Raw genomic sequence first — 26,465 nt, forward strand, 5'->3', positions numbered from 1 at the left:
CTGCAGACTTAAATGTCCCTGTCTGACAGCTTTGAAGAGAGTCGTGGTTCTCTCAGCACGCAGCTGGAGATCTGAGAATGGACAGACTGCCTCAAGTGGGTCCCTGAACCCCAAGTAGCCTAACTAGGAGGCACCCCCGAGTAGGGGCAGACTGACACCTCACACGGCCAGGTACTCCTCTGAGACAAAACTTCCAGAGGAACAATCAGGCAGCAACATTTGCTGTTCACCAATATCCGCATTCTGCAGCTTCCACTGCTGATACCCGGGCAAACAGGGTCTGGAGTGGACCTCCAGCAAACTCCAACAGACCTGCAGCTGAGGGTCCTGACTGTTAGAAGGAAAACTAACAAACAGAAAGGACATCCACACCAAAACCCCATCTGTACATCACCATCATCAAAGACCAAAGGTAGATAAAACCACAAAGATGGGGGAACAAAAGAGCAGAAAAACTGGAAACTCTAAAAATCAGAGCACCTCTCCTCCTCCAAAGGAATGCAGCTCCTCACCAGCAACGGAACAAAGCTGGACAGAAAATGACTTTGACAAGTTGAGAGAAGAAGGCTTCAGATGATCAAACTACTCCAAGCTAAAGGAGGAAGTTCGAACCCATGGCAAAGAAGTTAAAAACCTTGAAAAAAATTAGACGAATGGCTAACTAGAATAACCAATGCAGAGAAGTCCTTAAAGGACCTGATGGAGCTGAAAACCAAAGCACGAGAACTACGTGACAAATGCACAAGCCTCAGTAGCCGATGCGATCAACTGGAAGAAAGGGTATCAGTGATGGAAGATCAAATGAATGAAATAAAGTGAGAAGAGAAGTTTAGAGAAAAAAGAATAAAAAGAAATGAACAAAGCCTCCAAGAAATATGGGACTATGTGAAAAGACCAAATCTACATCTGATTGGTGACAGGGAGAATGGAACCAAGTTGGAAAACACTCTGCAACATATTATCCAGGAAAACTTCCCCAAACTAGCAAGGCAGGCCAACATTCCAATTCAGGAAATACAGAGAACACCACAAAGATACTCCTTGAGAAGAGCAACTCCAAGACACATAATTGTCAGATTCACCAAAGCTGAAATGAAGGAAAAAATGTTAAGGGCAGCCAGAGACAAAGGTCAGGTTACCCACAAAGGGAAGCCCATCAGACTAACAGCTGATCTCTTGGCAGAAACTCTACAAGCCAGAAGAGAGTGGGGGCCAATATTCAACATTCTTAAAGAAAAGAATTTTCAACCCAGAATTTCATATCCAGCCAAACTAAGCTTCATAAGTGAAGGAGAAATAAAATACTTTACAGAAAAGCAAATGCTGAGAGATTTTGTCACCACCAGGCCTGCCCTAAAAGAGCTCATGAAGGAAGCACTAAACACGGAAAGGAACAACTGGTACCAGCCACAGCAAAAACATGCCAAATTGTAAAGACCATTGAGGCTAGGAATAAACTGCATCAACTAACGAGCAAAATAACCAGCTAACATCATAATGACAGGATCAAATTCACACATAACAATATTAACCTTAAATGTAAATGGGCTAAATGCTCCAATTAAAAGACACAGACTGGCAAATTGGATAAAGAGTCAAGACCCACCAGTGTGCTGTATTCAGGAAACCCATCTCATGTGCAGAGGCACAAGTGGGCTCAAAATGAAGGGATGGAGGAAGATCTACTAAGCAAATGGAAAACAAAAAAAGGCAGGGGTTGCAATCCTAGTCTCAGATAAAACAGACTTTAAACCAACAAAGATCAAAAGAGACAAAGAAGGCCATTACATAATGGTAAAGGGATCAATTCAACAAGAAGAGCTAACTATCCTAACTATATATGCACCCAATACAGGAGCACCCAGATTCATAAAGCAAGTCCTAAGAGAGCTACAAAGAGTCTCAGACTCCCACACAATAATAACCGGAGACTTTAACACCCCACTGTCAACATTAGACAGATCAACGAGACAGAAAGTTAAAAAGGATATCCAGGAATTGAACTCAGCCCTGCACCAAGCGGACCTAATAGACATCTACAGAACTCTCCACCCCAAATCAACAGAATATACATTCTTTTCAGCACCACACCACACCTATTCCAAAACTGACCACGTAGTTGGAAGTAAAGCACTCCTCGGCAACTGTAAAAAGACCAGAAATTATAACAAACTGTCTCTCAGACCACAGTGCAATCAAACTAGAACTCAGGATTAAGAAACTAACTCAAAACCGCTCAACTACATGGAAACTGAACAACCTGCTCCTGAATGACTACTAGGTACATAACGAAATGAAGGCAGAAATAAAGATATTCTTTGAAACCAATGAGCACAAAGACACAACATACCAGAACCTCTGGGACACATTCAAAGCAGTGTGTAGAGGGAAATTTACAGCACTAAATGCCCTCAAAAGAAAGCAGGAAAGATCTAAAATTGACACCCTAACATCACAATTAAAAGAACTAGAGAAGCAAGAGCAAACACATTCAAAAGCTAGCAGAAGGCAAGAAATAATAAGATCAGAGCAGAACTGAAGGAAATGGAGACACAAAAAACCCTTCAAAAAATCAATGAATCCAGGAGCTGGTTTTTTGAAAAGATCAACAAAATTGATAGACCGCTAGCAAGACTAATACAGAAGAAAAGAGAGAAGAATCAAATAGATGCAATAAAAAATGATAAAGGGGATATCACCACCAATCCCACAGAAATACTAACTACCATCAGAGAATACTGTAAACACCTCTATACAAATAAACTAGAAAATCTGGAAGAAATGGATAAATTCCTCGACACATACACCCTCCCAAGACTAAACCAGGAAGAAGTTGAATCTCTGAATAGACCAATAACAGGAGCTGAAATTGAGGCAATAATTAATAGCTTACCAACCAAAAAAGTCCAGGACCAGATAGATTCACAGCCGAATTCTACCAGAGGTACAAGGAGGAGCTGGTACCATTCCTTCTGAAATTATTGCAATCAACAGAAAAAGAGGGAATCCTCCCTAACTCATTTTATGAGGCCAGCATCATCCCGATACCAACGCCTGGCAGAGACACAACAAAAAAAGAGAATTTTAGACCAATATCCCTGATGAACATCGATGTGAAAATCCTCAATAAAATACTGGCAAACCAAATCCAGCAGCACATCAAAAAGCTTATCCCCCATGATCAAGCGGGCTTCATCCCTGAGATGCAAGGCTGGTTCAACATATGAAAATCAGTAAACGTAATCCGGCATATAAACACAACCAACAGCAAAAATCATATGATTATCTCAATAGATGCAGAAAAGGCCTTTGACAAAATTCAACAGCCCTTCATGCTAAAAACTCTCAATAAATTAGGTATCGATGGGACGTATCTCAAAATAATAAGAGCTATCTATGACAAACCCACAGCCAATATCATGTTGAATGGGCAAAAACTGGAAGCATTCCCTTTGAAAACGGGCACAAGACAGGGAGGCCCTCTCTCACCACTCCTATTCAACATAGTGTTGGAAGTTCTGGCCAGGACAATCAGGCAGGAGAAAGAAATAAAGGGTATTCAATTAGGAAAAGAGGAAGTCAAATTGTCCCTGTTTGCAGATGACATGATTGTATATCTAGAAAACCCCATCGTCTCAGCCCAAAATCTCCTTAAGCTGATAGGCAACTTCAGCAAAGTCTCAGGATACAAAAACAATGTGCAAAAATCACAAGCATTCTTATACACCAATAACAGACAAACAGCCAAATCATGAGTGAACTCCCATTCACAATTGCTTCAAAGAGAATAAAATACCTAGGAATCCAACTGACAAGGGATGTGAAGGACCTCTTCAAGGAGAACTACAAACCACTGCTCAATGAAATAAAAGAGGATACAAACAAATGGAAGAACATTCCATGCTCATGGGTAGGAAGAATCAATATCGTGAAAATGGCCATACTGCCCAAGGTGATTTATAGATTCAATGCCATCCCCATCAAGCTACCAATGACTTTCTTCACAGAATTGGAAAAAACTACTTTAAAGTTCATATGCAACCAAAAAAGAGCCCACATTGCCAAGTCAATCCTAAGCCAAAAGAACAAAGCTGGAGGCATCGTGCTACCTGACTTCAAACTATACTACAAGGCTACAGTAACCAAAACAGCATGGTACTGGTACCAAAACAGAGATACAGATCAATGGAACAGAACAGAGCCCTCAGAAATAATGCCACATATCTACAACCATCTGATCTTTGACAAACCTGACAAAAACAAGAAATGGGCAAAGGATTCTCTATTTAATAAATGGTCCTGGGAAAACTGGCTAGCCATATGTAGAAAGCTGAAACTGGATTCCTTCCTTACACTTTATACAAAAATTAATTCAAGAGGATTAAAGACTTAAATGTAAGACCTAAAACCATAAAAACCCTAGAAGAAAACCTAGGCAATATCATTCAGGACATAGGCATGGGCAAGGACTTCATGTCTAAAACACCGAAAGCAATGGCAACAAAAGCCAAAATTGACAAATGGGATCTAATTAAACTAAAGAGCTTCTGCACAGCAAAAGAAACTATCATCAGAGTGAACAGGCAACCTACAGAATGGGAGAAAATTTGTGCAATCTACTTATCTGACAAAGGGCTAATATCCAGAATCTACAATGAACTCAAACAAATTTACAAGAAAAAAACAACCCCATCAACAAGTGGGCGAAGGATATGAACAGACACTTCTCAAAAGAAGACATTTATGCAGCCAAAAGACACATGAAAAAATGCTCATCATCACTGGCCATCAGAGAAATGCAAATCAAAACCACAATGAGATAGCATCTCACACCAGTTAGAATGACAGTCATTAAAAAGTCAGGAAACAACAGGTGCTGGAGAGGATGTGGAGAAATACGAACACTTTTACACTGTTGGTGGGACTGTAAACTAGTTCAACCATTGTGGAAGTCAGTGTGGCGATTCCTCAGGGATCTAGAACTAGAAATACTATTTGACCCAGCAACCCCATTACTGGGTATATACCCAAAGGATTATAAATCATGCTGCTATAAAGACACATGCACACGTATGTTTATTGTGGCACTATTCACAACAGCAAAGACTTGGAACCAAGCCAAATGTCCAACAATGATAGACTGAATTAAGAAAATGTGGCACATATATACCACGGAATACTATGCAGCCATAAAAAAGGATGAGTTCATGTCCTTTGTAGGGAAACGGATGAAGCTGGAAACCATCATTCTCAGCAAACTATCGCAAGGACAAAAAACCAAACACCGCATGTTCTCACTCATAGGTGGGAATTGAACAATGAGAACACATGGACACAGGAAGGGGAACATCACACACCAGAGCCTGTTGTGGGGTTGGGGGACAGGGGAGGGATAGCATTAGGAGATATACCTACCGTTAAATGATGAGTTAATGGGTGCAGCACACCAACATGGCACATGTATACATATGTAACAAACCTGCACGTTGTGCACATGTACCCTAAAACTTAAAGTATAATAAATTTTTTAAAAAAGCCAAACTCATAGGCACAGACAAGAGAACAGGGAAAGGGCTGGGGCTTGGGGAAACTGGGAAGATGTTGGTCAAAGTGTACACACTTGCAGTTAAAAAATGAATAAGTTCCGGAGTCACCATCCTGACAGCATGGTGACTATCCTATAGTCAATAATAATGTATTGTATACTTGAAATTCACTAAAAGAGTAGATCTTAAGTATTGTATTTCCATTACAAAGAAAAATAGTTGCTATAATGGTGATGGATGGGTTAATTAGCTTGATTGTGGTAATCATTTTACAATGTATACTTATATCAAATCATTACATTACACACCTTAAATATATACAATTTTTATTTGTATATATATGTCAATTATATATGTAGATGTCAATTATATATGTATATATTACATACATATATATGTATTGTCAATTATACCTCAATAAAGCTGGAAAAATATACATAAATTTTTAAAACTCCCACCATGGCCAATTTCAAGCAACCACAGTGAGGTCACTGATGCAGAGTTCGGCAGAGATGTTCCCAGTTGGCTCTCATGAGTGGGTGTGAGCCGCCCCAGCTCACCACTGCCTACGCAAATGCTCAGCACAGAGAGTGGGCTGTCATTCTCCACAAACCCTCCTGGAATCTTCTTAATGTAGTGAATTGAAGAACTTTTCTAGGTATCTTTAGACAGGATGACCAGTACTTGATGAAGGGTGGATGTCCTCAGACCCAGAGTAGGGAAACCATGTAAGCAGCTTCCCACACAGAACCCAGGTTGAACTGGGCTAATTTCTGTCTTAATGACAAGGATGCCAACAGTGGCAGGTGGGTATTTGGCAATCACTGAGCCACCCCTATCAATGTACTGGTGCTACAATAGATCTCCCAAGCTCTGAAACAGTACGTCAGAAAGACCCTGCCACCCTATCCTTTCCGCCTCTGTCGTTCACCTCCTTTTAAAGAGAGCTGTTTGGGGGAATCTCCTAGTTCCCTTTTCTTCCTCACCTTTCCTCATTTCTCTTGTCTTAGGTGAAGAATTGAGCTGGTGACCATTTGACAGTGTAACTGAGATAGAGAAATACTGATCTAGAAGGTATGGAAAGATCCCAGCCCTGCTGTCCTACAACCTTCCTGGGGCCAGCCTCTTTGTCTGCATAGCCAACAGGGTTTCCATGGCTTCCAAGAGGACATCTGACACAGGTATTAAGCTTTCTGAAATAAAAAAAAAAGATGTACACACACAGGATTAGCTTTTAAACCCTCCATGAGCGTTCAATGATGTAACCGATCACTCTCTTCCTAGACCTTCCTTCCTAGTCATCAATAAATCAGAGTTGGTAATGATCCTTCGAAGATTTCATGTTCAGTAGTTATTTGATTAAAGCTAAATTTGGCCTTTTTGTGTGAGACTGTGCTTTGAAGGGTGACCAAATGAAACCGGGCTCCACAAGAATAAAGCAGGTGCAGCCAGGGCATCAAAGCAGGGGGTGCAGGGAGCACTCCCGGGTCCTGTGCCCAGTCCTGTCACCTCAGCCCTCAATCCCCTGGCAGAGAGGAAGCCTTAGTACAGTTAGCAGACAGGATTAGGAGGGGTGATCATCCCCATACGTGAAGCAATTTGCCCAAAAGGAAAACAGCTCCCCTCAGCCCTGCAGGCCCAGCCAGCGGCCTCCTCCTGCAGGCATCCCCTGCCTGTCCTCAGCACCCTGCATTAAGCCCAGGTCTAGACTTGGGCAGATTGTGCAACTCCTAAGAGATTAGTTTCCTCACTTGTTACCTGAGACTGCATGTCCTTTATGATGGACAGGTGGTCTGGCTCAGAGGGAACAGCCATAGGCTGGAGACAGGCAACGGGGAATTTAAAACCAGTCTTGTCACCATTGGTGCCATGTGACCTTGACTGAGCAAAGCACTGCACTTGAACCTGTTTCTCTCTCCCCATTAAACAGGGATGAGGAAGAAGATGATGACGACAATGGCGATGATAGCCTAGAAAGTTACAAGATGTCCATTGTAACTTCCTAGTCCACAAACGCCCAGATAAACCTGATCTGATCTCTGCTTCCGTCCTGTTATGAATGTCCCCTTTGGTCTGGCCCTGCACTGCATCTCTACGTCCTCACTTGGACTGAGCCCCAATTTCTTGCCCCATGAGCATCCAAAGTCCTCCTTACAACATCTGTGAATTCTGCTGCTTACCCACTTATGACTCTCCCACCTCCCGGTAGTTCATTTGTGCATCTACCTCCATGCTGCCCCACACTGATCCAAATGTCACCCCAACCCCCGATTACTATGAAAAACTCACATGCAAGCACCTTGTAAATTCAGAGAAACTGAATATGGGGAGGTGGCCAGGGGCTGTGGTCACTTCACGCACCTCACACCCTTCCCCTCTCATTTTTCCTCTCCCCGAAACCCGCAGAACTGAGCACAAGCCCCTCCCCTTGCCATGTCGGGCAATTCCGCCCACGTCCAGGCCCTCCTAAACTTTCCGCTTATGTTCCGAAGCACAGAGCAAAGTATTTCCCCAACAAATCAGCTTTCTCTAAGGGAAATACTGGTACATTAACTCGTCTCCACTTTGTCACAGTTAGAATGACAAATATGAATGCACTTCATTTATAGGGTACTTCAGAAGCCATCTCATCCGATCCTCACAGCCACCCTGAGAGCTGAAATTCTATAGAGGGAGATACTGAGGCTCAGAGATATTACGTGACCAACAGTGAACACCCAAGAAAGGGTGGAGTCCGAGTTTAGAGCCGATCTGACTCCAAAGCCCACGCCTTTCCTTCTCCCACCTGCCCCTTTGTTTCCACTGTTGAGGATCCCCTGGGGACTGCCTGGACGAACACCTGCTCCCTGGAAGACATCAGGAAGCCACCCTCTCCCTGACACGAGGGCAGAAAACTCTTCTTCTACACCACCCTTCCCCCTCCGCTCAGATTCTTCAGCTGTAGGGGGAAAGCCTTGTTCTCTGACCACCAAAGGAGCACAGCCTTCCAGAGGGTCTTTCTCAAGATCAGCAGGAGACAGGCAGCTGAGCGTGGAATTCTGGATGGGAGGGTGACAGGGAGAGTTGCGCTGTCTGGCTTTTCTCCCTCCCCACACTACCCCACTGGTTCCTGAGCACAAGCGTCATAGCTAAGCCCTGGCCTATGTGTGCAACAGAGAGAGAGCGAGAGACAGAAAAGGGACAGCAGAGCAGAAAGGCGTGGAGTCGAGTCCGAGTGAGGATGTAGAGATGCAGTGCAGGGCCAGACCAAAGGGGACGTTCATAACAGGACAGAAGCAGAGAACCTGTGAGTGCCTATTCGATGTAAAACTGCTGTCGACTGGGCACAGTGGCTCACGCCTGTAATCCCAGTACTTTGGGAGGCCGAGGCAGGTGGATCACCTGAGGCCAGGAGTTCGAGACCAGCCTGGCCAACAGGGTGAAACCCAGTCTCTACTAAAAACACAAAAAATTAGCCGGGCATGGTGGTGCATGCCTGTAATTCCAGCTACTCAGGAGGCCGAGACAAGACAATCGCTTAAACCCAGGAGGCACAGGTTGCAGTGAGCTGAGATTGTGCCATTGCACTCCAGCCTGTGCAACAATAGGGAAACTCTGTCTCAAAAAATAAAAAATAAATAAATAATTTAAAAAAAAACACTGTCGAGATTTTCCACCTGATTCTCAGGCACCAAGGCTGAGGAGGAGAGGAGTGGGAGTCCATTTTACCAGCAGATAACTGCACACTCTGACCCCAGGAATTCAGTGTGTCTCTTACAGGACCTCCACTCTGCAACAGTTAGGCTTGAACTGGTCACAAAAAGCTGTGCTAACCTCAGGAGCACACTCTCCACCAGCTGACAGGAGAGAGATGGCAGTGAACGTGCAGGGTGGTCCAGGAAAATCAGCCTTGGATTACAGATATTGGCTATGGATAATATACAACATGAGGACCAGCAAAAAGCTGAGAATTGTCCGTGCTACCTAAAACCAGGCAAGTGTGAAGGCTGAGGGCGGAGACTGCAAGACACTGCACAAACAGGAAGTTTATGTTCAGATCATCAGGCAAGGGAAGGTGCAATTCTTCTAACAGCTTATGGGCATACAGCGCTTTATAGCGTAGCAGCACTTTCATGGACACCGTTTTGTTTAGAGCACTGAATAGGGCAGACTTCAGGGTTAAACAGTCAGTTTCAATGCCAGGACCACTGCATGCTCCTCTGTGCATTCACAGCCATGATCCTCCTCCTACAGCCCATGCTCCCATCTCTACCTTGGATCATCTCAGCAAGGACTCAGTGGGATATCCATTCATTCATTGCTCTACCAGTGATTTTGAGCCTCTCCGACGAGCCAGGCACTGCTCTAAACATGGTGAACAAATGATGCCAAAAGCTTTCTCTTCATGAAACTTTTTTTCTAGAGAGGGAGATGGGTAATCGAGATAATAAATAAGCATGCTGGGTTGTATGTTGCATAGTGATGAAAACCATGAACAAAACCAAACAGGTACGTGGGGCCCCAGTGCTTGGGACCTCAGAGGCACTCAATCCACATTCCCCGGCGCTGCTCCCATCTCACGGCGGCCCTGCGAGGCAGACAGGCTGATAGCCAGCATCTTACAAGTGTGCAGTGTGAGGCTTAGAGAGGTTCATGACCTGCCCAGGCCCACACAGGTGGCAAGGGCCAGGCCAGGACGCAGCTCCCTCCCCAGTGCCCTCTCCTAGCTTCTTCTGCAGCTCTGTGTGGTGGGAGAGGAGACCAGCTGTCGCAGAGGAGAGGTGAAGCATAAAGGGGACTCACCCACGGAGAAGCCACTGTCCCTGCAGCCCCAACACCTCCCTCCCCACCCAGGGAGTTGCCAGCACTTGCCGGGCAGGACACTGTAGAGCAGCTCCAGCCAGGGCTGGCCTGGTCGGGGAGCACCGGTGAGGAGGGCCTGCTCCTGAAGGAATCTCTGGACCCTGTCCCATCTCCTTCCCATCCCATGACAAGGCTTCCCACAGTGCAGAGGCAGTCAGGATGCCAGGGGGAGAAATGCCAGATTGTTATGTTGACTTTCCACTCAGTTGTCTCCTGCAGGTTCGTGCTTAGGAGCCATGAACAGAGGGCAGCAGAGTGGCAGCCTTGGCAGCCCACAGAGACCAGGCTGCCCCGCCACATGGACGCATGTGATGTCCACCTCCTGGAGCCGGCAGGCAGCGCTTCAATGGCCAGGCCTTGCCCAGCAGCTTGTCTGCAAACAGCAAGGGGCCAGACCTCACGCACACACAGCTCAGAAGGGGTCCATCTGGACTAGGGTTCTTGCAGACTTAAAGAGGAAGGCGCCGGGAGCCAGTTTCCATTCCAGGCTGCAGCCTCCTGCCCAGAATCTCCAGCCTTGCTTCTCTGCAGCTGGGGCCATCTGGCTGTCCCTCCTAGGCGCCTAGACACCCCTGGAGTGCACTCGTACACACTGGCCGCAAACACCGTTACCCTCAATACCAGTCACTGTTGAGATCAGCCTGCCGGGGTCCTGCCACCTGCTGTGTGTTTGTGCTGCTGGTGACTGGCTCTGTATATGTCTCCATACCTCAACAACCTGTGGATGCCTCTAGGGAATCCTGATTTCTCATGCACTGGCATCTTGTCTTGCTCTTTCTTTCCAGATTCCTCTCTCATTCTTTCTGTAAACATGTATAAGCACCGGTACATGTATCATCTTTGTCACTGTGACATCTTGACAGTAGTCCAGATGGCTCCACGACATCTTGACAAGCTTCCAGTTGCTGCCTGCCTGCTTTCCCAGGTCTTGGAATAACACAGCCCCTGCTGATAGACCGATCCCCTGAATCCCACATTGGATCATCCCAGTGTGGCTGCCATAGAGGTCTGCCCACCTGATATCAGGCTTTTTCTTGAGAGACAGGAGTTTCCCCCAGGACCTACACAACCTGTACTGTCCTCATATGATTTTTCCCCACTCCAGGGAGAAGAACCAGGTCCAGATGTCAGCCTGCAGCACACCACTGCACTCAACCGATCCCTGCCTGACCATGTTCTGAGAGGTGTGTGAAAGTCTGCACTTGCCAGCTCTTAGAGAACAGTAGCAAGATAGAGTTAGTTACATATTCTGTTTGCTAAATATCTCTTTTAGGATTTTTTATTACAAAAGTTCAAATAATAAACCATGTACAAAGTAAAAATTATAGCTCCCCTATGTCCTCCTACTTAATCTCACTTCTGAGATGCATCCTAAGTTAGGTATGTATCCATCCACTCTTTTTTACACACAGACTCCACAGAGAATTCTTTTGCACAAACGGAAACATACAAATTGTTCTGCATCTTGTTTTTTAATGTCGCAAGTACATTTTTTTTCCTCGGGAAATTTAAAGCCAACCTATTGTTTTAATGCCTACTATAGTATTCATTACATAGATGACTCATAATACATTTTTTTGAGACAGATACTGCTGTTGCCCAGGTTGAAATGCAGTGACATGACCACAGCTCACAGCAACCTCTAACTTTTGTATTTTTTGTAGAGACAGGGTTTTGCTACGCTGCCCAGGCTGGTCTCAAACTCCTGGCTTCAAACAATCTGCCGGCCTCAGCCTCCCAAAGTGCTGGGATTACAGGCATGAGCCACTGCTCCCAGCCCCATAATATATTTAATCATTCACTTATTCATGTATATTTGTTGCCAGTTATTCCCTACTACAAACAACATTGCAATAAATGTCCTCATGTATACATCTTTTTGTACTTATTTTTTTCCATAGGTTAGTTTCCTGGAATTCTTGTTGTCTCATTTGAATTTGCATTTTTGTTATTAAGTGAGGTTAGGTGTATTTTCATCTGTTCTTGGCCCTTTGTGTTTTCTATGAATTTCTTGGCTCAATACCCTGATGTTTGTACGTCGGAAGTGAGATTAAGGAGGAGGTAGAGAGCTTTTAAGGAGGTAAGGGGCTGAATTATCCAGCCTTCCACTTCTATAATCCCTTTTATCTCAACCACCACTAACTCAAACCTTCCATTGGATTAGCCCATAGCAGAATCTACATTTCTCATGACTAGTTTGGCTCTAGTTGGCTATGGTAAAAGCACATCTCCCTTGCAAAACTACCAACCAGAGGATGCAATACCCACCATCCTCCTGCCCACCCATTGCTCCCCTCTGAGCCTTACAGAGCTTAGGTAGAAGAGGACTCCACTGTCATCCAACTGACGATGGAGGTGACAGGCTCTAGAAGATTCAAGGAGGCACCTTATCACATGGGGATCGGTGTCCCAAGTGAAAAATGATGGTCTTAGGAAGGGACTGTGGAGCCACATGACAAGGGACTGGAGAGATGTCAGGAATGACAGCAGTGAAGAGATTTTTTCATGGGACCCTTTGCAAAACCCTGAGTGCTAAGGTCTTGTCGCATCCCTTCTTCCTCTACCCACCACTGGGTGGCAAAAGGTGAGGCATGAGCTAAATAGCATCACCTGTCATGGTTCCCTGATGATGTGCTGCATTTCAATGCTCCCGGGACCCTTATAAAAAGATGTGCTTGATCTGGGGAAGACAGGTATAGTGGTTTTGGGGACAAAGAGGTAATACCCCACCTTAGCAAATACCAGCCCCTCCCCTGTGGCAGAGATGATGATGACGATGGTGATGATGATGATGATGATGATGATGATGACAATGATGATGATGGTGACGGTGGTGATGATGATGGTGGTGATGATGACGGTGACGGTGATGATGACGGTGACGGTGATGATGATGATGATTACAAGCCTGAGATATCTCCTTTAGCTTGTGAGCTGTAAGGCTCTTTCCACTTCCTCCTCCCTGCTTCCCACCAGAAGCTGGTAAAGAGTGAGCTCCTGTAAAACAGAGGGCCCTGCTGTGCAGGTTATATTATTATACTATCACTGAGTATACAAACAGAGGAAAAGAGAAACCCACAGTTCTACCATGCCAACCTCATCTGGCGGCATTTTTAAAACTTCCATCCAGTCCTGCATCATCTTCCTCCTCAAAACTTTTTCAGAGGCCATGAGACGGGCTCTTGCTTTGAATGGCCAACTCTCCTGGGGCCATGGCCAAGGCAGACGCTTGTATAGTGACCTTGGCATTGTTTTTGGGTCAGTGTGAGCAACTTTAGGATTGTGTGTCCTCGTGACTGACTCTCCATCACCTCTTCAGAGTAAACATGTGAACTTCATGCATTAAAAAGTCCCTTTAGATCAAGAAAATATCTAAGGAAAAACATTTGACACACATAGCTGAGCTCCCATGCACCATCCTTAGAATAACCTCGTGTGTGAGGTATCATCACCATCCCCCTGACCGATAAGGAAGACTGAACTTCAAAGACATTAGATCACATGGCTGGTAAGTGGTAAAGTGTGGACTCCAGCCCAGGTCCCCTACTTCCATGTCCAGAACACTTGCATCACACGAAGCTGATGACATAATCTATTGTCCATATTCCAGAGTTGTAACTAAGGACCAAAACTGACCAGTTTTACTTTCCCCACCTCTCTGTTCCAATAAGTAAGCATCCTAAGTGGGCAATGGAGAAGGAATCGGAGGAAGGATGGGTAGTGGCCTGCACAGGAGGGTTTCCACTATTGGAAGAGGGGAATGCCGGCTCACATGGGGATGGAGGGCAGGGGGAGGCACTTCCTCCCCACAGTCCAGCACCTTTTTGAGTGTTCCCTTCACCATCAGCAACACCCTAGAAAGCTGAGGGAGTAGGAAAAGAACAACCAACTCAAACTCAAGTTCAAAAGCAAACAAGTTCAAAAGAGACAAGTTCAAAACCAGCCATGCTGAGACGGGGAGAAATTACAGGCCTCAGTTAGAAAGGAATTCGCCACCTCAGCGCTAAGGCTAAAACAGAAGTCCCTCACTATCCGAGCTTTAGGCTGCTAACCTGCTAACTTCACAAAGGAGTGGTAGGCAGTGGTGTGCTGGGAAAGGCTTAACAAACAGCTCTCCAGGAAAAATGAAAGCCTTACCTTAGCATTTCCTTGACTTCCATGGTATGAATAATACCCCATAGCAGCTTTGGAAATCCTACAAAGGGGGGACCTCAGACTAGGAAAGGGGGTGGGATGGGACACCACACAGAGGGGGAACTAACACCTCGTACATCCCTTTTGGGGTCACATTCTTCTCTTCTGTCCTTCACTGTATGTCCAAGGCCACACACATCCATAGGTGACAAGGCATGTAAATAAAAGAAGTAAGGAGGAAGGGGGCAAAGATTGCACGTTACGAACATTCTCCGTTGTTTGAAAGTACTTTGCAAAGAGTGGCCCTATTTCTTCTATTGTCTTTCTTGTCCCCCTCCCCAAGCCAAAATCTGAGCCCAGCTAAGCTCTAGCAGATGGTAGACCACCTCTAGTGATGGTCCCAGCAATCTACTAGAATCTTTTCATAGAAAAATCTAATTATGTCACTCTCCTGATTCAAATCTTTCCACCCTTCTCGTCTCAACTCACTTAATGCTAGTTTTTCCCACCAAACCCTAAACCTCTTGAGGGCACGGGCCTGGTCTGTCTTGCTCATTGCTGTGTTCTACTACCTAGGATGGAGTTTGGCAGACACTAGCCCTCCGTAAATACTTGATAGATGAATCCCAAATTGCTCCTTAATAATTCATTCATCAAATTATTTTTAAGTACCTTAACAGGCTCACAATGGAACAGGCCCTGGAGATTCAGGAATCAACAGTCATTGTGAATACTGCAGAATGCTGCCCATTTCTCCCTGTAAACCCACGAAGCAAAAACCAGGGCTGGGGGTGAATGCTCCACCATTCTCATGGAGAAGCAGCCAGGTGAGAAGGGGAAGCAAGACAAAAACCATGGATTCCAGCTATAAATTATACAAATGCATGGCATTAAAAAATTATTTTAACACATCAAATATTAAGTCATTCGTATGCTCTGCAATTACTTTATCTGTCATCAGCACACTCAAGCTATTTGAAGTGGTGACAGATGGGAAGGAGTCCGTGCCAATTTTTCCTGCAGGTGTGCATCTGGGCTAGAGGGGAGGGGTCAGTACGTGCAGCAAGGGAGGGACGGGGAAGGGTGACTGGGGTTATGAAACTGGAGCTGATGTAGGAGGCTTGGCAAAAAGTAAAAATTACCAATTTGCATCCTGGAAAGCTGCAGGGCATTGCACTCCCTGGGAACTCAGTAATCATTAACTGGGCAGCTCAAGGGAGGTGAAACAGCAAGCTGCCCACGTCGCAGAAGGAAGAAAGCAAGGCCCAGCCAAGCCAGCAGCCGGACCCAGGAGTCCTGGCTCCTCCTACTTTGTTCTGATCCCCAATCAGTCCTCTGAGGGCAGCAAGCTGGAGAAAGTCAGGCAAATGGGGAAAGTGAGAGAAGGGGGTACAAGATCCTTTAGAGACTAGGACTCCTTAGAGGACACTGGTGGGGATGGAGGGAAGATCATGGAAGGGCCAGACACATAATATCTAACCTGGGCTAGAGAATTTTCTAGAAAATGAACAGCATGTGATATAAGATCCACTCTGGAAGAACCCAAATCATACCTCCAAACCCAGCCTGACGCAGAACTTCTCTGGCTGAATGAGGACTTCCTGCCAGGTGGGAAGACAGATCCACTCATATCCACTGGTCCCTAGCTCCTCCCCTAGATTCTCAGAACCTGGAGTTCTGCTTCAGACACAGCCTTCTCAGCTGCCTTCTGACAAGTGAGACTCGCTGTGGCCTCCTCTGGGAGGGCACGGCTCACCGCTGAGGAACTCATGAATCCCACACTCAGTTACACCACCTCCCATCTCCTTCTCCCACAGTCTGTACTTCCTCCAATCATGTAGATTTCAAATCACACGCTCTTAACTCCCTTAATTAATGCTGACATCAGAGCTCTCCCTTCCTTCCTTCCAAACCCTTCCTCCCAAACCTGGACCATTTAAAATGACCCCCAGGCAGACCGAACCCCATCCTAGACCCCAGCCCAAACATATACACACACTCAGTTGTGATGTGGCCAACCATAAAAGCAAATTCATGCTGCAGGTTTCATTCACAGAAGAAACAACCTACTGGGCACAAGATGAGGCAGGTTTTCTTCCATCTTCTCAGTCAGAACAGGAGGGAAATGACGTAAAGCATGGCATAGAAGAATTGAGTTCATTGAGAGAAATAACTTCCAGCTGGTGGAGTTGTATAGTCTAGGCTTACAGAAGTTTGAAGGCGCCTTTTCCGTGTGACTGTGGGACAGGGTTTTCAGGTCTGGCAAAGCAGAGCAGGGCCTGGCTTAGAAGACGGACTCCGTACCTTCCCCACACCAGGCGCTCTCACTCTGTGATGGGGCAGTGGGCCGCCTTGCAGAAAGCTGATTCCCAAATGACCAAAACCCATCTGACTTTCAGCAAATTGACTAAGCAGGCGCCCCACACGGCAGGGGCCTATGATGCAGGATGGGAGACCGCAGTCCCTACCGAGTACAGTGTGTGTAGACTGAATCAGCATATTCAAACCTCATTGCTTTGATTTGGTTTAATAACAATATTTTATTTATTTTGAAATTTCAATTGCATTAGAGAAAAAGATGTTATGCTTCTTGGAAGAAGATGTAGCCTTTTAAAAATTCACAAACTTTGTTCTTGGATAACGTACATCTCCATTGGAACAAATGATTGACTGAGATTCTTGCTTTATTCATTCCTTCATTTGTTCATATTTTTTAGGAGGTATCCACTCGTTTCCTACTTCAGGCAAATCTCTCTGTGAGGCCTGGAATTCTAAGGATAAATAAGGTCCAGACTCCGGCTCCAGGAAGAGTATAATCAAACAGTGAGGGCCAGCAGGACAGCAAACGACAGTTACCGCGAGGGGCTGGATCTGGGACGCAAGGTACCGTGGGACGAGGATGCAGGAATTGGGCCTGGCATGAGACAGGAAGGCTTCCCAGAGGCAGAAGGTTTTGAGCAAGTTCATGAGGAGCTCAAGAAGGTGAGTTTGGAAACTGATAATCCAGAGAGCTAACAAAATGTGCAAAAGTGTGGAGGCTGAAATGCATCCTGTATTCCAACCATTCCCCAAATAGCCCTGTTACTGAGTAGCCGCAGGAGAGTGGTGGGAGCTGACCTGGAGCAGGGAGGCACAGGGACAAGATAGGGCAGAACCTGTGTGCCAAGTCAAGGTTCCAGGTGTGTTATGTAAGTGACAGGTGTCCACTGAAGAGCTTTAAGGAGGCAAGTGACACAGTCAGATTGAGATCTGGAAAATCACCCTGGAAGATGGACTGGAGAGGAGCCAAGTTGTGCATGGGTCGGGAAATGGCAATGAGGGGGCGACGGCAATAATGCAGGTGATAGGTCCGCATATTGGAATCTCTTCCGCATGGAGATCCAGCAATGCCTCACACAGTTTCATTGCCCGGCACACTGGTCTTTGGGTCAGCAGCCTTCAGCTTCAGAGGATTTCCAGTAGAAAGTGAGAATAAACTTGCAACAAGAATGCAGAAGCTCCCGGAAAGAAATATGCACTGACAACCAGAGAGAATGACTTGGAAGGATAAAAAGCAGCTTTAGGAAAGCACTCAAGGAAAAAACGCCAAGAAAAAGCCGAGCAGAAATATCCCTCGCGTCCCACAAAGAACTCTGTGCTGTATTCCCCAAGGACACTTCAGGACCCTCCGGGTACCTGAGTTCCAGAGACTTCTGGCAGAAGGACCTCCAGTCTCAAGGTCACTTAACACGTTGCCTCAGAAGCCACTCTCCTGTGCGACCCCTAGCCCGCCAGGGTTTTCTCTATTGGCTGGCTCCGTTCGCTCTCCACACAGGTCATGAACAGAACTGACCTCCCTGACTCAGCAGCTCTGACAACATCTCTGCTCCAGAAGGTCAGGTTCCCTGGCAAGCACCAGCACCCTGGCCACGCCTGATGTCAAGAGAGAATGATGCATCCTCCTGAATGGTTTGGGCTGAATTGGGAGACCAAGCCCTTGTCAGTCAAATGCCAACAGGGCAGTTCTGAACCTGCCGGGCTGGGTGAGTCATCACCTTCATAAAACAAAATACCCCAATAATTAATACAGAACAAATTAATTAAAGGAAGTGAGACCATTGCAGCACCCACTGTGAACGGATGATAATTATTTGCAAACACAGGGAGAGGCTCAGTAAGCATCCAGACTCCTGCTTCACTGGCAACGAACTAAGCCCTGAAATCCCACGCATCTAAAGGTCAGGAGGAAACGCAGAGCAGAACCCACCCAGCCAACTGCGAGACTGAAGCAGGTGAGGCCACAGCCCAGGCTTAGCCCTTTGCCTGATCATTTCACCTGCATAAAAATTTCCAGCACCTCTGTCCCTCAGTCATTTACAATTCCAATCCCTCAGAGGAATAACCACAAGCTTCTCCCTACATTTTTAACAGGAGAAGTGAACGTAAAGGGACACTAATCTTACAGAAGCCACGCGTCACTTCAGCTGAGGCCTCCCCACCTTTCCAAGCAGTGTCCTAGCCCTGGGCGACTACCCTCGTTCTCAGACGTAGATCCACCAGTGTCTGGACCAGATCCGAACGGCCTTGAATGAAATGCCCTGTTTACAGATGATTGGAAACGGGAACTATGTCTAACGTGTACTTAATCTGCTCTGTTTTTCCCCTTTTACCATATCCTTCACCTTCTCACATATTACATACATCACTGTACGTATTCATTGGCTCTGCTCTCTCTCTACCCAGGTCATAAGAACAGACGCCCCTGCAACAGCAGGAGGTTAGATTTCTTGACAAGCACTGGCTCCCTGGCCACACCTGGCATCAAGAGAGAGGGATGCGTCCTCCCGAATGGATTGGGCTAAATTTGGGGGTGAAGTCCTTCAAAAGAGTCAAAATATTACATTTATTGTTTGTCAGCTCTCACTATAATGAAACCTCCGCAAGAGAAGGGCTCTTTATTTTATTAACAGATTTATTCCGTGAACCTATTACAGTGCCTGGCACCTAGTAGACACTCAGTACATATTTCATCCAATAAGTCAATGAATAAGGTTATGGCAATCATTTTTCCAGAGTACACCCTGTAAGTTCTATAGAATTTTAAGGGTGCAGCAGCAGCATCAACAGCACCTCCATTTCCTGTCTGTATCACTGCTACACCTATTGCAGTGGGAACTATTGGGAAGGGGAGGAGAGAGGAGAAGGCTCCAGCAACAGTACCAGAGCAGCCAGTGTACAGTCTAAGTCTGGGAGATTGCTTGGTGTCCTTGTGAACTTGCTAGAGCCTGGGAAAGGTAAGAACAGACAGTCGGTCAGATCTGAGTGTGTGACTGCACCAAGCTCTGGGCAGTTCTAGAGTTACAGGACATGAACTCACACCTCCCCGGAGAATCCTAAGACCACATCTCCAGCAAACTCAGGCCCCAGGCACTCTGAGCATAGACCAGCTAATCTTGCACTCCAGCAATGCGGTAAGCAGCATGTCCAGCACCTGGTGGAAAACGCTTTGTTAGAATCCTGGTCACTGGCCCTCTGACACAACACCCCTCCTGGTCTCCAGTTCTCTGAGTGCCTCTGGGCCACCCCTGAGGCCAGAAGCAACAAAACCAGTTCTCCTGCTGGGAGAAGAACACTCACCTCCTCCCAATTCAAGAATCTGAGTGGCAAACTTGCTCTGCCACTATTTTGAGTGGAAACAGCTGGGCTGCAAAAGAAATCAACAGATCACAGATGAAAGTGCATCTTAAATGGAGTCAGAGACTTTCACCACCATTCCCTGGTAATAGACACCATCACATTACTCCAGGTCCCTGGTTACAGCCAACTGGATTTCATCTCTCTTCAATGAGGCTGAAAGTGCCAGAGGATTTTAGTCGTGAAGCACACAGGACTCCTGAGGTGGGGCAGTCGGTCTGTAGGTTACCTATCCACACAGGTACAGCAGTCGGATTCGGTGGAGGAGGAAGTTCCAGTGGAAACAAGTATCTCTCCACATTATCTGTATTGCTTGAGGGGAACAGGTTACTCATTTTGCTCACTTCTCAGTGAAGTCGTAGGTTTGCAAACCCAGTCTGACACCCAATGATCTCGCAGTTCCCTCCGACTGTCTCCACACCATTTCAGTCCACATCATCTCGCGCCTGGAAGATTACGACCACCTCTAACAGCTGTCCCAGCCTACAGTCACGTTCCCTCGCAATCCATTCACCACTTCAGCTGAAAGAGCTCCTCCAGGTCCCTCCCTTAAAGCCTTTCAGGGGTTTCTATGGAGACTGAACTTCCATGAGGAGTTCCATCTCCTTAAGACGATCCAACCCCTCCCAACCACTTTAGCCTTGTTTCTTACCCAATCCTCCATCTCTCACTCAACAAAAGAGCCAGACTCAACTTCTCCCCAACTCCCAAGATGCCACACCTCCATCCCCTCCAGGTCTCCCAGCACAGCGACACCCCACTCATGCCTCCTCCTCTTTCCCCCCCCGCTGCCTTCAACTCTCTTCACTAACCTCTACATACCCTTCTAGGCGGCTGCCTTCAGAGGGCATCTCCGGCCCCTAGACTACATATACTCATCTGTCTGAAAGTAGCTGGCCATGCCCCTCATCCCACCCTATGGCAACGTCCTTGGCCATGACTGGCTTTGCGTGTGGCTGAGAACCCACCCCGGTCTGTCTTCTTTGTTTCACCAACACCCAACACATTCCCAGATCAATAAATGTTTGCTGAATGAAAACATAAACTTATTTTTGAGACAGCTATGAATCTCCACCATTCCACCATCTCCCCAAAACTCTTCCCTAAGATTAGCCTTAGAACTAAAGACTACGTGAGCCTAGAACTAAGGGTCGTACCTGGCACCCTCCTTTTGTTCAATCTCACTAGACTAGTTTAGCTATTCTGCTCTTTCCCCTGTGGAATGTCTGCTGTGGCCACTTTTCCTGATCTCTGTATTAGCTCCACCACAGATTGGTTCCCTAGACAGAAAATTCCATTCCACCTAAGAACTCAGATTCCCAGAAACATTGGAAATGCTGAAGAATTGGCTACGTAACTTTTCAGGACTGCGGGGAGGCCTCGCACACCCCCTAAAGGTGGCATTTAATACCTTCATAAAATCATCTGGGCCTCTTCCTGGTGCCAGCCCTCAATCGCCAGACTTCCTGGCATTCAGTGCCAGTGCATCTGGAAGAAGTGTTAGGCATCCCCTAGCCCAGCGGCCTGCATTTACAGATGAAAAGCTGAGACCTAAAGATGTCATGTGACCTGACAATGGTTGCATGGAGCAAGTCTGAACTCAATTGGACGCCCTAGTTCTGCTGGGAAACATGAATGGCCTTTCAAAATCCCATGGGCTTTCCATAAAATACCAACATCTCTCTCATGCTTTCTGACGGGGGACCCATAGTCAGAACAGGTCTAGGGCCCTCCAATGTCCGTAAGATCCTGAAGAGAAGAGGTGGTGGGAATACTAGTCTGTTGTGCCCTGTCCTTCCCAGCCACCCCTGGTGTTCTAAATCCACTCCACCATAAATTCAAAGTGGGTTGGCCAGGTCACACCTCTGGGGCATGGACCCAGATCTGCTGTCTTTCTTCTCTAACAGAGGTGAAGAATTCTGATTGTCATCAATGAGTTTGTTTTACAGCCAAGGAAACAGAGGCCTAAGGTGATCTCTGTTTCATGGCAACACTCAGGAACTCTATTCCTGAATCTCTTTCGCACAATTGTGCAAGGTGAGGTAGTGTTGCAAAACGTTGTTTTTACCAGGCCTTAACCACCTATATAATAAAACACCCAGTACATTCTGCTTACATTTAGTAATCATATGAAATGAAAAGTAGTTACAGACATTTTTGTGGCATTGTACATAATAAAATGGGTGATATATTGAGTATTTTTCAGAAATCAAACACAGCTCTACCCCACTTCTGCTGAGTCTGAAATGAGATGAACCTATTTCATCATCAATAACATGGAGAAATATTAGGGCTTGAGAAAGATAAAGGGAAACTGTGAATTTAATATATATTAATGTGTAGCAAAATGGTTATTCATACCATGAGAAGTGTGGACATGATTATTCATGGGCAAAAGACTTTCCCACCTGCCAAATTTATAAGACTGTTTTCTCTAAAACAATCCAACTGTTTAGTCAAGACTTAATATTTATGGATTTTGAGCACTCAGTAATCTAAGTCCGTGTTTCTCAAAGTGGGATCCACAGACCACTAAGGAATCTCTAAAATTCTTTCAGGGATCTGCAAGGTCAACTCTATTTTCAAAATAACACTAAGACATTATTTGTCTTTTTCACTGTGTTCGTGTTTATACTGATGAGGCAAAAGCAGTGATGAGTAAAACTGTTGGCGCCTAACACAAATCAAGGCTGTAGCAGCAAACCTGATGATAGTTTGGATACTTGTCCCACTCCAATCTCATGTTGAATTATCTTGCTGGAGGTGGGGACTGGTGGGAAGTGTTTTGATCATGGAGACAGATCTCTCATGGTTTGGTGCTGTCTTCATGATGGTGAGTTTTTGCAAGATCTGGTCATTTAAAAGTGTGGGACACCTCCCCCCACACTCTCTCTCACTTGCTCCTGCTTCTGCCATGAGACATGCCTGCTCCCACTTCATGAGTATAAGCTTCCTGAGGCCTCCCCAGAAGCAGATGCCAGCACTAAGTTTCCCATACGGCCTGCAGAACCAATTAAACCTCTTTTCCTATAAATTACCCAGTCTCCGATATTTCTTTATAGCAATGCAAGAACGGCCTAATACACTTTACTAGTAGTCATCGTGTTCTTCCTTTACATGCACTCATAACTAAAATACAAAAGTATCAGTTTCACTTAAGAATGTTCTTCACGAAACAGTAAAAAAAATTCTATTAAATCTCAGTCCTTGAGTACATACTTTCTAAAAATGTTACACACCGCATGCAAAACACTTTGCTGTGTACTGAAGTACAACAGCTGTCTAGAGGATAAAATGATTGTGTGATTATTTGAATTGCCAGCTAAACTAGACACTTTTTCATGGAATGCTATTATTACTTGAGGGACTGACACGCAAACTGTTTACTTAGATATGGATATTTAGAGACATTTTCACAAAAACAAATAAAATGAGCCTGCCACTTCAATGAAAACAACTGGCAATATTTGTCACCAATGGTAAAATTTGATCTTTCAAGCAAAAATTATAATCTTGGAAAACTTGTTTCCATCACTGAAAACTTGACAGCTCCCCAACCCTTAAAGACTTTCCAGTGCGATCAGTGCTGTTACTAACAAATGTGATTATTTTTCTCTTGTATAATGATATTTGTCAGCATTTGGAGATCTGCATAATTTAGCGGGTCATTATTTTCCAAATGACCAATGCTGATGTTATAAGATCATACATGAGTGAAAGATCCATTCAAATGCAAGATTGGTCAATGGATTTTAATGTAAGTAAGTATGGAGTGCATTGATGTGGTTTCAGAATCCATATTGAAATTCACCTTTAAGAAACTACTTGTCAATTTTTCATGTAGAAAAATATCCACATTTATGTACTAAGCACCTCTCCCCTTTACAACTACATCTCTGTATGAAGCCAGATTTTCTTCATATATTTTAGCTAAAATAACACATCACATTTTATTCAGAAGCAAACATGAGAATTCAACTATCTTCTTTTAAGCCAAACATTAGCAAGAGTTGCAAAAAGGTAAAGCGATACTACTTTTCTCACTAAAATTTCTTTGCTTTGGAAAATAGTTTTCATAAAATATAGTGTTAACATATAATAGGTTTATCGATGTTATTTTTAATTAATTAACAATTTCTTACATTTCTCTCTAATTTTTAATATATAAATGAAAGTATACTTATTTCTCTGCAGCCATGGTCATATAAATCAAGCTATATTGCTCTCCTGCTTAAAAATTCTTCAGCGAATTCCCATTGCAATTAGAATAAAATCTCAATCATTTTCTGCAGCCACCAGGGCACTAACCATGGCCACTGCCCCTCTGCACCGTCCTGTGCTCCCAGCAAACTCCAGGGCAGTCCATGGCTGTCTATGCCCGAGCACACCCACCCAGCCTGCCTTATTTCCGGCCTTTGCATTGCCTGCAATTCCCAGTGTGCAGAATGACTGAAGGCAAGTAATAGGATCTCAGTAAATACTTTTGAATAACTCCTTCCTGTGCTAGCAGAGACTGTGGAAAGGGAGGAAGAATGAAAAATTGAGTGAAAGGCGTTCAGACTGACACTTCGGGCAATGATCAAAAGTCAGTTGGTAACGGTGATGGAAGCGCCTCATAAATTGTTCTGCCTTCAGTAAACAAACATCTTGAAGGGGAACTCGAGGGAAATCTCCTATGACACACGAGCATGCACTCTCCCTTTATCATGCACAAACTCACATGCCCTCCATTCCACAAACGTGCACATACACACATGCACACATGCACGTTCGTAAACAGTGTCCTTTTTAAAATTCTTCCGTCTTCCTTTTTTTGAAACCTGTCATCCCTTCTTCCTGCTCCTTCCAGATTTACGACTTTAAAAAAAATTTTTTTTAATTAAGGATTTTTAAAAATCCCTTAGCTATTCCAGGTGTCAGGTTCATGACCAAATGAACTCTCAGGGTCTCAGGCAATTTTTCACTTCTCTTCTGTCAGCATTCCAGTGAAGCAACCTCGTGTCCACAAAAAGATGTCTTCCCTCCAAGAATAATAATTGGCCTGATTCTATAAAGCATTTTACATACCAATGCAACCTGTCACTGAATACCTTTCAAAGTCAACAAAAGGTGGAAAATTAAGGTAAAAATAACTGAAATACCAACCTGTATTCTCTGTTTCCGCCATCCTTGTATAGGAGAGGCCCCCACAATAAATTGCTGAAGTGTGTGATCATTCATTGATACTGAGGCTGGGATTCAGGAAGTCACCAAAAACTAAAGGCATTTGTCCAAAATAGGTTGCAATTCTTTACCCAAAACCTTTAAAGTAATTTGCTTCTGTTCTGCGTGTAACTGTAGACAAAGAGTCAGGAAGGTCACATAAACGAGAAAATCAGCACAGGGATCAGGCCAGAGACATACCTTGTATGAGTCGGGGGTCTCTACTGAGTTGGAGACCCCTCAGAGACAGCCACCACTTGGGGTCAACTGATTATTCTACGACAGAATGCCAGCTGTGTGTGGCTACACCTATTTTTCAAGAGAAGCTAGATAACCAGATTTGTATGCAAAATTCCCAATTAGTTCATTATTTAAAAGCACTGTGTTTAAAAATATGTCTGCAGGTCACACTCAACCTGACGGTCACCAGTTTGTGACTTTTGTTCTAGACATTTAGAGAACAAAGAAAGAGTACAAAAACCATGGGCAATGGTGGAAGAACAACATTTTTTAAAAAGAAATTATTAAGCTTTCAGCAAAGGTTTGAAATTTCAGGAGTGCAGAGCTGCCCTGGGCTCAGGAGCCATGTGCTGTCCCTGACTTAATTCCAATCTGATCAAGCCCAACTAGGTCTTTTCCAGGCCGCATGGTGAAAAAGAGACATGAATAACTTGAGGCTAGAAAATGAGGCTTATGTGGACTCATAGGAACTTGAATTGGTCAGTCCTAAAGGGCAGGGGAGAAAAAAGCTCAACAATAACTTAATGATGAATTTCCCAAAGCTGGAATATAGAAAGAATAGCCATGGAATGTTGTAGAACATGGAAGGAGACACCTTGATTCCCAAGACTTTGTGGATGGTAAGCAGCAGGAGGGGGCTTGTCCAGACCATTAGAAAGCCGACTTTCCACTGTGGCTCTCACACAGCATTATCTCTGACTCTTCAGGGCAAGGTGGAGGCCAGGCATCTTTTGGCAACAACACATGCACACTGGAGCTGCTCAGAAGGCAGGGAGGCCCCTGGGATGGAATTGAGCCTCAGCAGGCTCGCCGTTCCATCACACGAGG

The 26,465-nt window shown here is 45.1% G+C and overlaps 1 long non-coding RNA gene across 1 annotated transcript, besides 1 other annotated feature; it reads right to left on the minus strand.

Annotated features, from left to right (window-relative positions):
* Positions 10,047 to 10,548: an enhancer, noted in NCBI's record as "H3K4me1 hESC enhancer chr11:129593081-129593582 (GRCh37/hg19 assembly coordinates)". NCBI's record gives its function as "activates a minimal SCP1, AML or CMV promoter by ChIP-STARR-seq in primed H9 embryonic stem cells {active_cell/tissue: H9 hESC(primed)}" and the evidence as "EXISTENCE:reporter gene assay evidence [ECO:0000049][PMID:30033119]".
* Positions 17,043 to 22,719, minus strand: LOC124902792 (uncharacterized). The gene is made up of 2 exons (XR_007062951.1): positions 19,879 to 22,719; positions 17,043 to 19,786 (listed from the first exon to the last, which is right to left on the minus strand). It is a non-coding gene; the product is annotated as an uncharacterized LOC124902792 (long non-coding RNA).
* Between the last annotated feature and the right edge of the window lie 3,746 nt (positions 22,720 to 26,465).

The sequence above is a fragment of the Homo sapiens genome, chromosome 11 (assembly GCF_000001405.40).
Source record: "Homo sapiens chromosome 11, GRCh38.p14 Primary Assembly".
Lineage (NCBI taxonomy): Eukaryota > Metazoa > Chordata > Mammalia > Primates > Hominidae > Homo > Homo sapiens.